The sequence below is a fragment of the Homo sapiens genome, chromosome 4 (genome assembly GCF_000001405.40).
Source record: "Homo sapiens chromosome 4, GRCh38.p14 Primary Assembly".
NCBI lineage: Eukaryota > Metazoa > Chordata > Mammalia > Primates > Hominidae > Homo > Homo sapiens.
This window is the reverse complement of record NC_000004.12, coordinates 7,190,110-7,207,105: the sequence shown is the minus strand read 5'-3', so window position 1 is coordinate 7,207,105 and position 16,996 is coordinate 7,190,110. Positions and strand designations below refer to the sequence as shown.

Genomic DNA, 16,996 nt, shown 5'->3' with positions numbered 1-16,996 from the left:
GGCTCAGCACAGGGCTGGCGTGTACATGGATGGATGAGCACGTTAGCAGTGGGTGATGCTAGGTGCGGGGCTGGTTTGTAGATAGATGGATGAGTGAGCGAGCAGGTGGGTGATGCTGCAAAGTCATTTCCGTCAGAAAGCCCAGGTTTCTCGAATCCTGCTCTCCCCTGGGAAAGCCCTCCCATGGTTCAACCTACCCCAGAGTCATTTGTCTTTGTTGAAAGCTGAGCAAACCCATCTCATGGGTTTCTTGTTTTGTCTTGTTTTGTTTTGTTTTACTGGGTGAGATGAGGCTGGGATCATCAAGGATGCTATTTAAATGCCCTAATTCAATTTGGGAATGGGTGTTTTCTCACCACGGAGTACCCTGGCTCCTGGCTGACCCAGTGGCCCCACCATGGAGGCGTGGGTGTCACCAGGACCTGGCTGCACAGCCACGACCATGAGTCAGCAGCTGCTAGACTGCTTCCCCTCTGCCCAGGACTCCTCTCAGGCAAGAAACAAATCTGTCTGTCTCTCTGGCAGCCAGCTCTTTTCTCTGCAGATATGTGCCATAATCCCCACCCCACGGGGTGGAGATTAATTAGTGCGTTAAAGAGCTTCCCAGGTTACTCGTGGAGCCGGCAGTGGGCCAGGGAGCCCAGATCCTCACTTACCAGCTTTGCGAGGACAGAGGGACTCGACTCTCCCCAGATTCCCCAGCAGGAAAGCTAGGCCTCTGAGCTTCAGGATCCATGACCTCCTGCTAGCTCCTCCTTTCAGAAGTCCTCGGATGTTTACTGAGCATCTACTAAGCACCAGGCGCTTGGGGAGCAACAGGGAATGAAACAGACCAAAGCCCCTGAGCCCCTGGAGTCCATACCCTTAGTGGGCTGGAGGAGACCAGAGAGGAGGCCTGGGGAAGACGCGGACACTGGGGCAGGGCAGAGGGGACAGGACTGCAGAGGGATGCATCATTCCCATGGGGTCCATCTGTCCCCATCTCATCCCTCCAGCCGAGTCCTACCTCGCATGGTGTTTTTGTTTTTTTGTTTTTTGTTTTTGTTTTTGTTTTTGTTTTGAGATGGAGTCTCATTCTGTCACCCAGGCTGGAGTGCAGTGGCGTGATCTCAGCTCACTGCAACCTCCACATCCCAGGTTCAAGCAATTCTCCTGCCTCAGCCTCCCGGGTAGCTGGGATTATAGGCGTCTGCCACCATGCCCAGCTAATTTCTTTGTATTTTTAGTAGAGACGGGGTTTCACCATGTTGCCCAGACTGGTCTCAAACTTCCTGACCTCACGTGATCCACCCGCCTCTGCCTCCCAAAGTGCTGGGATTCCGGGCGTGAGCCACCGCGTCCGGCCTCAGGGCATTATTTCTACATGCTCCTGATTCTCTCTGCCTGCTGTTTCTTCAGGAACCCATGAACTTGGATGCAGAAACAATGGCCTCTTTGTTTTCAACCAGCCCCAGCTGAAATTAGGCATTTCCTCCATTATGAAGTAGGCAACAAGTCACAAATGTATCATCAGTACCTGAGTGTCACCAACAGAAATCACAGCTATCTCCAAGACCAGATCACAGTTGTTATCGATCTCAAAGTATGGCTTACACTCAGCACAACTTCAAAACTATGGAAATCATCACACCTGCTGCTAGTTCTTACGGAAGTGTTACTGAAGAAATACTAAAACTGTATTTTGATAACTTCATTGCCATGAAATTGGTTTCCTCTGGATCTATACTTTGTTTTATGCTAATTATAAAATCCTCATTCTGAGAAAGTTTCATCAGCTTCTCCAGGATTGGGATGGGCAGGAGTCTAGGGCACAGAGAGAGCTAAGAGCCCCTGTGCCAGTTTGGGGTCCTCAAAGCCAGAAAACCCCTGGGTGTGTGTCCTTGGTCCACCCAAGGAGCCTAACCCACAGCCAGGTACACAGCAGCCGCCTGACGTCATAGCTGCTGCAGGACTCAAAGTGGATGCCCAGAAGGCCTATTTGATGGTCAAATGAAAAATCAGAAAATAAACTTGGCTGGGGTTAAGTGGTATTGATGGGAATAATTGAGAAAAACATAGGGTTTTTATTGAGTGCTTTATTTTTACAGAGTGCAAATTGAATTACTTAACTGGTCAATGAGGTAGTCAATTGGGAAAAGTGCCTAAAAGCAGAGGAGGAAGAGAAATGGGCTTGAACTTGGAAGGCAAACGGTTACCCTTAGCAAGCGCGGCCGCGCCGAGCAATGCCTCCGGGAATGGTCTCCTTTTCCACCCTTGGCGCAGCACCAGACCAGCCTATTTCTGACTTCCCAAAATTGACAGATCTGGATTTCCTGGGCTCAGAGAGATACCCCCTCCTTGGGTCACAAGTGGCAGAATTCAGAGGTTATGAGAACAGAACAGGGAAAGGTGACTCCCACGACGCAGCCTTGCCACCGTGTCCCTTCTAGGCACGGGATTGTCCTAATGCCACACATGTTTCTCCTCCTGTGGATTTCCTTGGGGGTTGCAATTGTGCTACTGACCGGCAAGTGGGTACAACACAAGGCAGCCACAAGAGTGACTTCTGATGCAGATAAAACCTCAGGCTCAATCAAAAACTTAACATAAGCCAGGCATGGTGGCTCACGCCTACAATCTCAACACTTTTGGAGGCTGAGGCGGGTGGATTGCTTGAGCTTAGGAGTTTAAGACCAGCCTGGGCAATACAGCAAAACCCCCATCTCTACTAAAAAATACAAAAATTAGCCAGGTGTGGTGGCGTGCACCTGCACTCCCAGCTATTTGGGAGGCTGAGGTGAGAGAATCGCTTAGTCAGAGGAGGTTGAGGCTGCAGTGAGCTGTGACCACATCACTGCACTCCAGCCTAGGCAACAGAGCAAGACCCAGTCTCAAGAAGAAAAAAAACTGACGTAGGATTACCATAAGATCTAGCAATCCCACTTCTGGGCATTTACCCAAAAGGACTGAAAGCAGGGATTTGAAAAAATATCTGCACACCCATGTTCACAGCAGCCTAATTCACACTACCCAAAAGGTGGAAACAACCCAAACGCCCATCCACAGATGCATGAAGAAAGGAAATGTGTGGTGTCCATACAGTGGAATATTACTCAGCCGTAAAAAAAGGAAGGAAATTCTGGCACCTGCTACAGCCTGGGCAAACCTTCAGGACATCATGCTGAGTGAAATAAACCAGACACAAAATGACAAATGTGTATGGTTCCACCCATATGAGGCCATTAGAGCATCAAATTCATAGAGACAGAAAGTAGACTGTGAGTGGCGGGGGTGGAGGAGGGTGATGGGGGTTAGTGTTTAAGAGGGGCAGAGTTTCCATTTGGGAAGATGAGAACGTTCTGGAGAAGAATGGTGGTCACAGCTGCACAACACTGTGAATGCATTGAATGCCCCCAGAACCATACACTGAAAAAGCATTAAAACAGTGAATTTATGTTACATATATTTTACCACAATTTTAAAAATAGTAATAAAGAAAAAAGAATTTTTTTTTAGGCAGAGTCTTGCTCTGTCGCCCAGGCCAGAGTGCAGTGGCACGATCTCGGCTCACTGCAATCTCCGTCTCTAAAGAAAAAAGAATTTTTTTTGAGGCAGAGTCTTGCTCTGTCGCCCAGGCCAGAGTGCAGTGGCACGATCTCGGCTCACTGCAATCTCCGTCTCTAAAGAAAAAAGAATTTTTTTTGAGGCGGAGTCTTGCTCTGTCGCCCAGGCCAGAGTGCAGTGGCACAATCTCGGCTCACTACAATCTCCGTCTCCCTGATTCAAGCGATTCTTCTGCCTCAGCCTTCCAAGCAGCTGGGATTACAGGCATGTGCCATCACGCCCGGCTAATTTTGTATTTTTACAAATTTTCACCATGTTGGCCAGGCTGATCTCAAACTCCTGGCCTTAGGTAATCCACCTGCCTCGGCCTCCCAAAGTGTTGGGATTACAGGCGTGAGCCACCACGCCCAGCCAGCAAAAAGAATTTTAAAAAGAACTCAGGCTCAAGAGTGAAGGAATTCAAACCACAGCTCAGATCCTCACTAGCTGTGTGACTGGGGGCAAGTCCTCCTGCCACACCGAACCTTATTTTCCATTGCTGCAAAATGCATATAACCATGATATCTACTGTGTAGGTCTCTGTTCAGGAGCAAATGAGACAAATGGGCATGACGTGCCTGACGCAGCATCCGGCACGTAGATAGGGGCTGTGATTATTAACTTTATTATTACTAATCAGCAGTTCCATGTAAATAGTGAGGGATTATTATTATAAGGTAAAATTACATCAGAAGCAGAAGCTGGGAGGTGATCCTAACTGCTGGATCTCCCCGGCTGAGGCCTAGGAGATGTTATCACTACGTCTGATGCTTCAGAAATATGCACGGCAAAGAAGCCTCATAAAGAATTCTTTCTGAATTAAAATTGATCTGAATGGAAGCGGCCACACTCTGCCTGGCTCTTTTCTTTCTCTAATTTGAACTTCATTTATCTGAGCGTCAGGAAATGGTGACTTGCAAGAAATGTGCTCGGTGTGAGTCAAGGCGAGCTCAACATTGCAGGAAATTATCTGCTTTTGCAAGAAAATTACTAAGGAAGGAGAGTGCTGTTATTTTAAGATCTTCGAGCTGGTGTGAGAAGAAACTAATTAAATGATTGTAATTTTCTGTGCAAATACAGTAACTGACTGCTATAGAAATGCAAAATAAGAAGGAGATTTTCCACCTCAAAAGGACACTGGAGTTTTACCTTTTATTCCAGTCTTCCAAGGAGAGTCCTCACTCACTCAAGTATCCCTATTCCATTTTTTTAATGACAAATGGAGCTTAATTGGAATAGAGGTGACAAGCACCATAGGCCTTCTGGGAAGCGGTCCCGAGTCATGAGGCTGAATGGAAAAGACGTTGCTGTTGCCCTCAGCGGGCTGCATATCAATCAGCAGTGAGCAAATTGCCTAAGTCTGTGTTTTACAGCCTTGCAGAGCAGGTCAGGGATGGTCTGTGCTTGTGGGAACCTGCTGGGAGCGGGGAGAGAGGTACAGGGCATTCCCCACCCCCACCACCCACTTAGACTGACAGCCCCATGTCTGCACTTCTTCTACACCCAGAATCCAAGCTCACATCCAGGACGGCGCTTTCCAAGAAAAAGCAGGATGTGAACCAATGCAGAACACATGCCTTCACCTTTCCAAAGCTACAGACGGAGACCTTGCCCTCCCGGTGGCCAGAGCCAGGGATCTCTGCTCCCTGGACTTCCAAAAGGGGAGGACGTCGGTCAGGAACAGCAGCTGCAGCACAGCCAGGCTTCTCAGGTCATCGGCATCCCTGCAATCCACAGAGCACCCACCCAAACTAGCGACTAAGGAGGGGCGAGGACAAAGTGGGCCATTCGTAAGAACCTATAAATAACTCATCCTTTGGAGTCTGAAAAAAGAAAGACAAGGCGGCCCCAAAAGAGGAGGCAACGTACAAGCTTCCCCTCCATTTCTTCCTGCACCGGAAAAGGCACAGGGGTTCTCGGCAGCGTCCCAGCTGATTCGCCCGTCACTCCAGTCTGCTCTCCATCGAATCATCTGCACAAGTCTTAGCCTGACTCTGAAAAATCACCATAAAATAAAGTAACGGCTACGCCGAGAGGCCCACGCAAGCTCTGGGCTGCCTTCTCATCTGAGGGGCGTGCCGAGGAATGAGGCTAATTTATGACCTCTTTAGAATACTCTCAGGAACCTTCACGCAACTACAAATTAAATCGCCCTTTATTAAAGTAAAAGTGGATTTGTGAAATGTGCTCAGCAACTTTATTAACAGGGCTGTCTCTATGACTTCGAGCCAGGCTTCTTGATCAACGCACGAGTCTCTCCTGTGCCCATGAGCGCTCCAGGCTGCTCCAGCCCCTAGGCCTCTCCTTCAGCCTTAATATTCTCACCATTCCAACCTCCTCCTCAGCCCGGGACTCTACTCATCCTGCAGAGCAGCTCCATCTTCACCTCCTCCAGGAAATCTTCCCAGACTTCCCCAGCGCAGATTCACACGGCACCTAGAACGCGCTGGGGTGAATTCCTGTCCAGACCAAACATTTCACCCGCGCAGGGGCCAAGTTTGACTTGGCCCCTCACTGAATCCTCAGCAGCTAACAGCGCTAGGCACACAGAGAAGCTCGGTAAAGAGCTGAGGCCAACAGCCACCACGAGCCGGGCCTTGAGCTAGTTTCAAGAAGACAGTGAAGATGCAAGTGAGGTCGACACTCTTAGGAAATAAGATGAAGGAGGACATTGGTGGCTCTGCTGGCCAGGCCCCCATCCATGGAGTGTGTGGCCCCAGCACTGGCCTGACACACAGGAACCATGATCCTCATTTGATAAATGAGGAAAAAGGCTCAGAGAGGTTCAGTCCTCATCCAAGCGTGAACAGCAGGCACGGGTGAGACCAGCTGTGCCTGAAGCTCAACTCTCATGGAAATCTGCCTCCTTCATTACTACTTGAAAGAGGCTGCGGTGAGGTTCTTGGGCTGGGCATTCCAAAGTCTCTTCTACTTCATTCCCGGTCTCCATTCATATAAATAAAATACAAATAAATTAGCAAATGTGTACTAAGCATAAACAACGTCCGGGTTGGTAGTGACCTTGGAGATGGTCTGGTCCTGACGCTCACCTTACAGATGGGGAAACTGAGGCCTGGGGAAGACTGGCTACATGGGTGGCCAGCATGATGGGAAGGGAGGAGTGAGTGCCCAGCTGAGCGCTGCAGGGAGAGAACCCAGGGCTCCCCAGGGAGGAGAGGGAAGGCAGCACTAATGTGTTGGAGGGCAGGGGAGGGACCCCGGGGTCAGAGCCAGAGGCCATGTGGAACAGCATGGAGTGCACCCCTGGGTCCGGCTGGGAATCTGGGCTCACAACCACAACTCTGGACCCCTCAGTCGGCCCCTGGTGGTCCCGCTTCCCACCCCAAACCGAAAGTCCCTGCAGTGGCCTGGAGCATGGACATGGAGCCTCCTTTTGAGCACTTCCAGCGAGGGGGGATCAGGGCCTCCAGAGCAGCACGAGAGCCCATCCACGCTGCTGCCCTGCACGCGGGGCAACCGAAGACAATCCAGCCTCCCCCACCTCTGCGCTTCCCCACTGTGCACCAGAGGGGTGGACTTCCAGCCCAAAGCCAGTTTCTATCCCATAACCCCTCCTGCTCGCATTCCCCGGGAGTGTCGGTCCCTCAGGCAAGGACCCAGCAAGGCAGGGCACCTTAGGTCAGGTGAACTGATTTTGGGGAGTGGGAGAGTGGGTTTGGGAGCTTCTCAGGGGTCCTCAGAGGCAACAGGAACAGACCAGCACTTGAGGGGGTGCAGAGAGAGGACAGAACATGGGGGATCCACAGTCAAGGTCTCATCTGTTGAACTTGGATGAGAATACAAACGAAGGCAGAGTTTGTATTCTGCCTTCCCAGAATGGCCCGCCCCACCCAGGCCAGGGAAGCGGGTCTACGCAGCTCCCCATCCCAGAGCGGCCCGCCCCACCCAGGCCACAGAGTGAGTCTGTGAAGGCCAGACCACAGCAACAGCCTCCCTCGGACCCCAGCCAGGAAACACCATGGGCAGGAGCCCTGCTCAGGGAGCCCCTGCTTCACAGCACAGGCAATGGCCACGGGCAGCCCCTCCACCAGGCTCACCTGCCCTCTACACCTCAGAGATCTCTGCTGCTCCCCTCAGCCACACCTCCCCAGCCTTGCCAGTCATCCTCATCCTCCTCCACCTGTGGCCCATGTGACCCCCTCCCCAGGTGAACTGAGCTTCCCCTGCCCCACCTTGCTCTCCCTGCACTGTGCCTCCACACCGGCCCCACTTCGCTCCTCCTGAATTGCATCCCTGGGGCTCTCTGCCCCCACCCCGCTTTGGACCACAAGCACTTCAAGAGAAGGAGCCCATCCCACTGGCTCCAGGCCCTTCCTCTGCACCCCAGGGCTGACACCCGAAACACGATGACGAAACTAGGGCCCAGGTCGAGAGAGAGCACGGCTCCCCATCCTCCCGGCTCACAGGAGAATCAGAAGGATGGGGACTTCCGCAAAGTGCACCCAGCAGACCCCATGGGTAAGCACCCAGGAAACAAGGCCTGCCGGCTGCTTTGGAGGCAAATATGAGGCCACGTGGAGGGTTCTGGGCACAACACCCTCCCCTTCCTGCTGGGAGCTCTCAACCCATGCTCTGAGTGTCGAGTGACTGGGGCAAGGGCAGAAGCCCTGGGTCACCGTGCGAGCCTGTGGTTTGCACGCCGAGACTTCCCTAGACTCAGCCCGCCCTCTGCATGTCCCCATGTGCTGCCGCCTCTCTCCACACAGAGTCCCCGGCTCCCTCATGGTTCTTCATCCAGCTGCCAGGCCCAGGGTCCCGGACAGGCTTGCCCCACCAGCAGCCAGCTCCTGACAGCAAGTATGACAGGCACTCACCCCTGGTCACCACATCCCTTGACCTCTGCCTGCTTCTGTCTCTCTCCAGGTGGCCGCTGGACACCCTTGGTGATGAGCTATCACGACAGAGATGCACTTCCTCTGGACGGAGGCCCAGCACTCACAGGCCGACCAGCCACAGCTCAGCCACCGGGGGCCACACCTCAGGCTCCAATCCAGCCTCCACCCCAAATGCTGGGAGGCCCACACCATGTGGGCCTAGAATTCCAGAGTAACGCACAGCAAGTTCAGCATACTTAAATACAAAACCCCAAGCTTGGAGCCACCAAGCTGTCCTCTAAGGTGGACTGGAGTTGACATCACAAAACCACAAGCATCGGACACGAGGCTTCAAGTCAGCTTTGTCGTGGATTTGAACCCGTTCATTTAAGAACTCACATGGTCTCTGCACTCTGGAGGCTGGCCTGGAGCCTAGAAGCCCAGCACCACCCAGGACAGAGAGGCCTGCAGAGCCGGGGCAGCCACGTCCTGTGCGCCCAGCCACGCACCTCTCTCCAGCCCACTCTCCTCTCCCTCAGCCCCCTCCACAGCCTTGGTCCAAGCCTCCCTCTGGCAGCAGCTCCTCCCTGAGCCTCTGTCCAGATGTCTCACCCTGCAGCCCTCACCAGCCCCATCCCCCACAGTGCCTCCAGGGCTGTTTCTTGATATCATTCTCTGAGCTCCTGCTGTGGGCCAGGCTCTGATCTGAGCATTTGACATGGAAGATCTCACTTCACCTGCACCACAAACCTATGAGCCTTTACTTCTCCCATTTTCAAGATATGGTCACTGAAGTCCAGAGAATTTAGTCCATTTGACCTGGATCCCAGAGCCAGAGAGTGGCAGGGCCAGGATACAGACCCGGGCAGGCTGCCTCTGAAGCTCAATTGCAATGTCCACCACTCGTCACTGCGACACGGACTCTTCAGCCTCACATCTGGGGTCCATCGGGAGCTGACTTTTTAATCTATTTTTTCCAAACTTCTTTTCTATGGTTTGTCTCCATGCACAATGCATTCACTCTCACTTTATATAACACACACATACCTTCAAAATTCCTACCCCCCAGACCTTGCTCAAGTTGGAATGTTGTTTTCTGGAATGTTCTCCATCTCCTATACACTCCACCTACTCATTCTTTAGGTCAGCCTTGATGCCCTCTTCCATGCAGTCTTCCCTGATTTCCCCATCAGCATTATCGGGGGAGGGTGACACTTGCCCCCTCATATCCTAGCTGTTCATGTCCATCTGCTGTCTCCCACTAGACTACTCTAAGATCCACTTCTAAACTCAGGAGATGCAAAGGAAGCTGAGACCCCTTCCCTGCTATTAGGGTCTGAACTGTGTCCCCCCACCAAAATCCATACGTTGAAGTCCTTAGCACTTCAAAATGTGACTGTATTTGGAAGCAGGGCCTTTAAAGAGGTAACTAAGTTAAAATGAGGTGGTTAGAATAAGCCCTGATCCAATATGACTGGTGCCCTTACAAGAAATGGAGATGAGGACACAGACACACACAGAGGGAAGACCATGTGGAGACATGGGAGAAGGTGGCATCTGCGAGCCCAGGAGAGAGGCCGCAGAAGGAATCAACCTGGACAATACCTTGATCTCTGACTTCCAGCTTCCAGGACTGCAAGAAAATACATTTCTGTTGCTTCAGCCACATAGTCTGTGGCACTTTGCCCTGGCAGCCCTAGAAAGAGAATTCACCTGCCCTCCAGGAACTCGACACCTGGCAGATGTCATGATGGAATTCTCACGCAAACTTGGGGAGAGGCCATGGGTAGTATAGTAGAAGCTGCCACATACCATTAGTTCTTGACCTCTTAACTCAGAGAAACAAGTTTCAGAAGCTCTTCTGATGTGTAGCTCTAGCTCTCTGGGTATAAAATATACACAAATATCGGGTTCATCAAGATTGCAGAACAGAGAGTGTGGGTAGTCTGCTCAGAATCACCTCTGCATTCAACTGCCTTGGATACCACTAACCATGTAGGCGCAGCACAGAGCAGATTTGGAAAATGGGCAGAGGGAGGGGAGGGAGAGGGAAGGGGGAGGGGAGGGGAAGGGAGGGCAGGGGAGGGAGGTGCTGATCTTCTCGGGGAACAATGACAGAGGTGAACAAACTGGACCAGGCTGCAGGAAGCTCACGTTCAAGTCAAATGATACATTCAGCTTCAAAGTTGAGGATCAAGTGCCTTGTGGGAAGGAGCCCAGGTGAGCTGTGCTTAAAATAAGCACAATAAGCCCACGATTTCCCAGAAACATTAAGAACAGGACGGGGCACAGCACATTCCCCATAGGAATAACATGAAACCGCAACCCCAGAGGCTGAGAGCCACACTCTGTAATATTTATCCACCTTCAAATAGCACCGCTGCCTCCAAGGGCAGCTCCGGAGATGCAAAACCCAGAGCTGTGTGTGCACAGCCCACTCTAGATCCATAAAAACGCAATACCTCTTGGTTTCAATGAAACATTAATTTCACACATAACAATTTGTTTCTACAGCTAAACGTCAGACAGGGAGGCGGTGTTTGAACTTCCAAGCAAGTCCCCTTCTCTATCTCCATGGGAGCAGGCAGAACCAAGCCGTTGGAAGGAAAACCCACATAATGTTAAACGGAGCTGTAGCAATGAGGGCTTAAATCCTGGGACTGCTTCTTGTGGGATGCTCTCAAAAGCCATGTTTTAAAGTCCATCTCCCTCATCAAATGCTCCTTTTAATTTTGAAGAACACCTGATATGGTAAAGTAAACACGCTCTCTGTTCATGTTGACCACATCTGCAGAGGGCGGCAAGCAAGTTGAGGAAAGAAAACGTTAAGAAGACTGCTCAGCAAACCAGCCGTGTGAGTTTCTGTCTGGTTGTAGCTTTCAAAGATGGTGCTTTCAAGCAGACGTGAAACCCACTGCCAAATCCTGGCTGAAATCTTTAGTCCTGTGGTTGCAAGATGAGACTAGAGGGAGCAGAGTACATTTCTAAGACACGGCGTGTGCTGAGAAAACAATACTACGCATGCAACAAGCACTAAGGCAATGATTTTTTCTTTTAAAGCAGTTTTACTTAGTTAGCTCAAGATAACAGCCTTCTTGCCTCTTCTGAGTTTTCTCAGGCAAGGTCAAACTCCTGCAGCCTCGCCTGCTCCCTGAGGTTCAGGATGATCAGGTCTTCCCTGACTGCCCAGTCCAGAGAATGGGTGTGTGAGAGAGGCAGGAGTGGAAGGTGTTGAAGCCCAATGCCTGGTCCAGCATCTGACCCCACGGACACCCACACCCACTACTCACAATGAGGGTGTCCTGGCTTCTACTCCCCGAGTGTTTGCTAAGTGTCAGGCTATGCCCGGTGTGCCACACCTCACCCCTGCCCCTCGCCTCATGCTGACCAGAGGACATCCATCCCTTAAAGCTCCTCTCTGGTTCCTTGGACTTGCTGTCCTCACTAAAGAGAAGCCAACATTGGCCCCCACCCACAATCCTCCCCCCACAACACACACACACACACACACACACACCTGCCAGCAGTGAGGACGCAAGCCCACCCAGTCACAGAGGAGTCACCCAACCCAGCTGCCGCCCTCAAGGAGCAAAGCCACATGGGCTCCTCTGACAGCCCCCCACCCCCAGTGCCCCATCCCTGCTGGCCCAAGCTCCCTCCTCAACTCTCTCCCAGGAAGCTGCCCTGCACCCAGACTGTGAGGTCAGGACAGGGGCAGGCTGGATGTCAGCCTATCCCCTCACATGGGGCTCCTCTACCCCCTCCCCAGGAAGCTAAATGACAAAGGGGCAGGAGCAAGCTTCAGGATCAACCACCTCGGCAGATGGGGTAGGGGATTAGAGCTTTCTGGCCCTGCGGGATTTGCTTTTTGTATTTATGTGGTCCTTTGAGCTCTCAGTTTCTGGGTTGCCTTTCCACCTGAGTTAGAGCTTATGGTAGAGCACACACCGTTTGTTCACAAGTACCTGGCATCTGACCCCTCTCTCAAGGTGCAGATGGAGAGAACTCTTCTAGGGCTCTTCTAGGGAGGTGGCACCTGCCACCTCTGCAAGTCACCCCAGCCGGCACCCTGACTGCCCCCTGCTGGCCCACTGCACCCAGGGAGCCAGCTCTCCCCTCCAAGGGCTGCTAGTCAGGCTGGAGATGCCAGGAATGACCCAAGACCAGACACTTGGCACCTGTACCCTGATAGATGCTGGCTGGTTGGGGAGCTGGGCTCTAGGCCGACTAAATTCATTCAGTGCTGCCCCTACCCCTGCCCCAACATATTCATCTGCCCACCTCATCCCTCCTCCAGCACAAATCACAGCTGGCTGGGAGTAGCCCAGCAAAGCTGGACAGAGGAGATGGGCACAAGTGACCACCCAGATTATGCCCTTTCCTGGCTCCAGAGGCCAGTGCTCCCCACCCATGCCACTGCCAGTGCATATAGGAACCCTGGCCCTTTGGGAAGCGAGAAGAGGTCTCCTAGGGGACCCCAGGAGACAGCAAGGCACAGAAATGAGGGGAGGCTTCCATCTCCCCTCCCCATACAAATGTACCCTCCTCTGGGGATTCATGGCTGCCACCTCCCTATCCCAATCCTTCTCTGGAACCTGCAAAACTAGAGCCCCACCAGGGGCTGCCCCAGGGTGACTTCAGAGTGGCCCTTGGCCCTTTTGTGGGGGTGGGGGGAAGTGGGGAGTGAGGTTGAGGCAGCCCCCAGGGGAATAATCTAAAGGGACCCTCTGCCTCCTGCATGCACCACCAAAGGCCAGAGGAGGCAGGATTTGGGAAGGGTGGGAGCCCCAGGCTGTGGGTGGAGGAACAGGAGGTCCCCAACAGAGGTGGCAAACTTCCAGCTGGAGCAAAGCCAGAGTAGCCGGGAAGGTGGGGGGAGGGCAGGGAGTTTGCTGTGCCAGCGCCACACAGGTCTCCAGCACAGTGTGGGTATGAACCCAAGGGGGTACGCGGGTCCCAGTGCATCCAGGCGGGGCGACCGGCAGCAAGAGCTCAAGACAGCCGCGGGTCGCACTAGAGTACCCCGGGGAGAGGGGTAACCCAGAAATCCCAGAGTCCCAGAACAGGATTCGAGCTGACCGGGGAAGTCCCGGAGCCTGCGGAGGCGCCACCGCGGAGTCCCTGGTAGACCAGGGAGGGAAGGATCCCGGAGCCCAAAATCCCAGAACGCGACGCTCAGCTGGTGGAGTCTGGGGGCAGGGGAGGTAACGCCGAGCTGGGGTACCCTCAAGGACCTGCAGGCTTCCGAAGGTTCTGGGGTCCTCCTCCGTAACCCAAGACCTGGAGGCCAGTGGGGGAGTATCGGAGGTGGCCCAGGATCCCGAAATCTGCGGGAATGTCCCCTGCGGTGAGACAAGCGTACGAATCTGAGGACCTCTCCCCAAGTAACCAGTGACCAGAGGCCAGTAGGGGCGCGGCCGAGGTGACCCAAGTGCCCAAGTCGCCAAGAACCCGCCCCTGATGACCATAGTGGGGATCTGGGGTGGGGGCCGTGGCGGTCCCGCCCGGGTGTCCCGCGGTGTCCCGGGTAGGGGCCGCGGCGAGCGCGTGGAGGTCACTTACGCTGCTGTTCTCGCCCGTCCAGTGCACCATCGCCTGGTTGTGCGTCGCGTCCCCCTTGAGCACGAACGACGTGCTGATGAGCGAGACCTGCGCCCGCGAAGCCACTCCGGCCAGCGGCGCCGCCCGCTCCCAGCGCCGGTAGCCCGCGGCGGGGGCGCCGTCCTCGCCGGGACCAGGAGCGGGACCGGGACTCGGACCCGGGGCGCCTGGCTCCGTGCCGCGCGCCTGCCGGTCCTCGCCGCCACCGGGCTCCGCGCGCCCCGCGGGAGGGCTCCGCGGCACCCGGGTCAGTTGGGCGTGAGGACCCAGGCGCCCGGGCTCAGGGGAGCGCCCCGCCGCCCCGCAGGCGCCCAGCAGCAGCAGCAGCAGCAGGAGCGGCCGCGAGCGCGGCGAGCGCGGCGGCGGCGGAGCCCCGGGGCTCGGGGCTCGGGCGGTGGGGCCGGGGCCCTTCGAGGCGCGCGAGGGCCCCCGGTGCGCCATGGTCGCCAGGGGCGGCAGCGGAGCCGGCGGCGGGGCGGCGCGGACGAGGGGACCGCGGCCGGGAGAGCAGGAGGGCGCTGGGGAGCGCGAGCGAGAGCGCAGAGAAAGGAGCCGGCGAGGGGAGGGAGCGGCGGGAGGAGGGGACTCGGCGGCCCCGGCGCCACCCGCGACGCCGAGCGCGCACCGCCACCTGCCGGCCGGCCCGCCGCCCAGGCGCTCGTGGGAAGCCCGGCGTACCCGAGCGCGGCCCCACCTCCAGGCCAGGATCCCCTTCCCAGCTCGGTGGTTCCTCCGGTCCTCCTTCCCGGCTCTCCCACCTCTTCCCGTCCTCCCTCCCTCTCTCCAGGTCCAGCCACGGTTCTGCGGCTCTGGGCTCCCGCTGGGAACAGCCAGGTCCCTGTCCGGGAGCTGACAGCCTGAGGGAGACAGACCAACCCAGGAGGACACATATATAGGCAAAAGAACTCTGAGCTAGAACCAGGGCTCCCGGCGCAGATTATAAAGGGTTCTCCTCAAGGGGCCTCTGAAGAGGTGGCAGTGGAGAGGGGGTGAAGCCCGTGAAGGTCCCTGGGGAGGCCTGCTAGGCGGCCGGAGCGGGGTGGGGGGGTGCAGTGCAGAGGCCCCTAAGGTGTCCTCAGCAGAACTGCCCCAAGGACTGCCAGGCCTCTGGCTCAGACATCGGGACGTGCAGTGGCTTCATCTCCCAACCCAGGGGCCACGAGGGAGCTACCCTGAACAGGACAAGCTCCTGTGTGGGGAGGCGTGGGGAGGGGGCAGGGGGTGAGGTCCTAGGGACCTGGCAGGCGCAGTGAGGAATGTGGAAACTGAGGCTCGGAGCACAGCAAGTCCCCACCCAAGGTCTCGTGGCCACTTTAGTTCAGTAGCGATAAAAATGACTTCACAGAGCAGCCACCCTGAGTGTCAGACGGGCCTCCAGGAACAAGCACGGCAGGCGCTTCCCGAGGCAAGGCCAGGGTCAGAGCCTCTGCCAGGCCAGGGCCACCCTGCCCATGGCCTTCCCCCAGAGGCCCCGCGCCAGATAGGAGCCCTTGGGCCGGGGTCCCAGTCATACCCCACCTCCCAGCTGGGTCCCTTGGCTCCAGAGAGAGCCTACTGGGGCAGAGGGGCAAGGCCTCGAACATTTGGGAAAGATGGAGAATTGGGGGTTCCCTCTGGCTCCCAGAGAATTGGAGCACCCATCTCCCTCCCCAGGAAATCATATCCCAAAGCACTGGGCACAGGCTACCTGCATTCACGCTGTACCCAGCGCTGGGACTTGGGGAGGAGGAGGTCTGGCCAGATGCCTAAGAAGGCCCCACACTCCGAATGTGCCGTTCCCTCTCACCCCACCATGTAAATCCTGAACCTGTCAGCTTCAAACCCAATGGGAAGAGGGAAGGGAGGACTCTGCAGCTGTGGGAACATCTGGTCTCACACAGGAAGCAGAGAAGAACAGAGTGGGGTCAGTGAAGGGTGGAGGGGAGGGGAGATGAGGAAAAGTGGGGGACCAAAAGAGGGCTGCAGACCGTGGCTGGCAGGAGATCACTGAACATGGAGTTAGAAATGAGATGGTTCGGTTCCTCCCAGCTTAGACAGGAACCATCACAGGGCCTTCCCCAAACTCCCGAGCCTCCATTTTGCCAACTGTAAAAGAAGAGGCTGCACAATCTCTGCGGTCTCTCTCAGTGTTAACTGGTTTTGTTTTGTTTTAAATAAAGAAGGCCTCCAAGTACTATCCTCAAGAAACTTGGCCAGGTGCAGTGGCTCACACTGTAATCCCAACACTGTGGGCGGCCAAGTTGGGAGGAATGCTTGAGGCTAGGAGTCAGAGACCAGCCTGGGTAATGTAGTGAGACCCCATCTCTATTAAAATATATATATATTTAAAATATTAGCTGGGTGTGGTCCAAACTACTTGGGAAGCTGAGGTTAAAGGATCGCTTGAGCCCAGGAGGTCAAGGCTGCGGTGAGCCGAGATCATGCCGCAGCACTCCAGTGTGGGAGAAAGAAAGAAAGAAGGAAAGAAGGAAGGAATGAAGGAAGGAGAGGGAGGTAGGGAGGGAAGGAAGGAAAAGAAGGACAGGAAGGAAGGGAGAAAGAAAGGAAGGAAGGGGAGAAAGACAGAAAAGAGAAAGAAAGAGGAAGAGAGAGAGAGAGAAAGTGAGAAAGAAAGAGAAAGAAAGCGAGAAAGACAAAGAGAGGAAGGAAGGAAGGAGGGAAGGAAGGATGGGAGGGTGGAAGGGGAAGGAAGGAAGGGAGGGAGAGAGGGAGGGAAAGGAAAGAAGGGAGAAGGAAAGGAAGGGAGGGAGAAAGGAAGGGGAGAAAGAGAGAAAAGAGACAGAAAGAAAGAGAGAGAAAGAGAAAGCGAGAAAGGAAGAAAGAGAGAGAGAAGGGAAGGAAGGAAGGAAGGAGAAACTTGACAGTGTCAGTTATCAAGCACTTACGGTGCTGGGCACTTTCCCCGGGGCTTGAGAGGACAACGGGGACTCTGCTCTGGGGGCTGCTGTTTCAGGCCATCATATCTCATTCTCACGACC

At 54.7% G+C, this 16,996-nt stretch overlaps 1 protein-coding gene across 8 annotated transcripts in view, besides 1 other annotated feature; it reads right to left on the bottom strand.

The window, feature by feature from the left end:
• Nucleotides 1-14,568, bottom strand: part of SORCS2 (sortilin related VPS10 domain containing receptor 2) — a 550,290-nt gene extending 535,722 nt beyond the window's left edge. For all 8 annotated transcript variants that reach the window (XM_005247987.5, XM_011513515.3, XM_011513516.3 and 5 more), the window contains exon 1: nt 13,980-14,568. In XM_005247987.5, the coding sequence (XP_005248044.2) occupies nt 13,980-14,459 (480 nt within the window). In that variant the 5' untranslated portion in view covers nt 14,460-14,568. The remainder of the gene's footprint in view (nt 1-13,979) is intronic.
• Nucleotides 14,565-14,734: a silencer, noted in NCBI's record as "silent region_15252". NCBI's record gives its function as "represses an Ori minimal core promoter by ATAC-STARR-seq in GM12878 lymphoblastoid cells {active_cell/tissue: GM12878}" and the evidence as "EXISTENCE:reporter gene assay evidence [ECO:0000049][PMID:35858748]".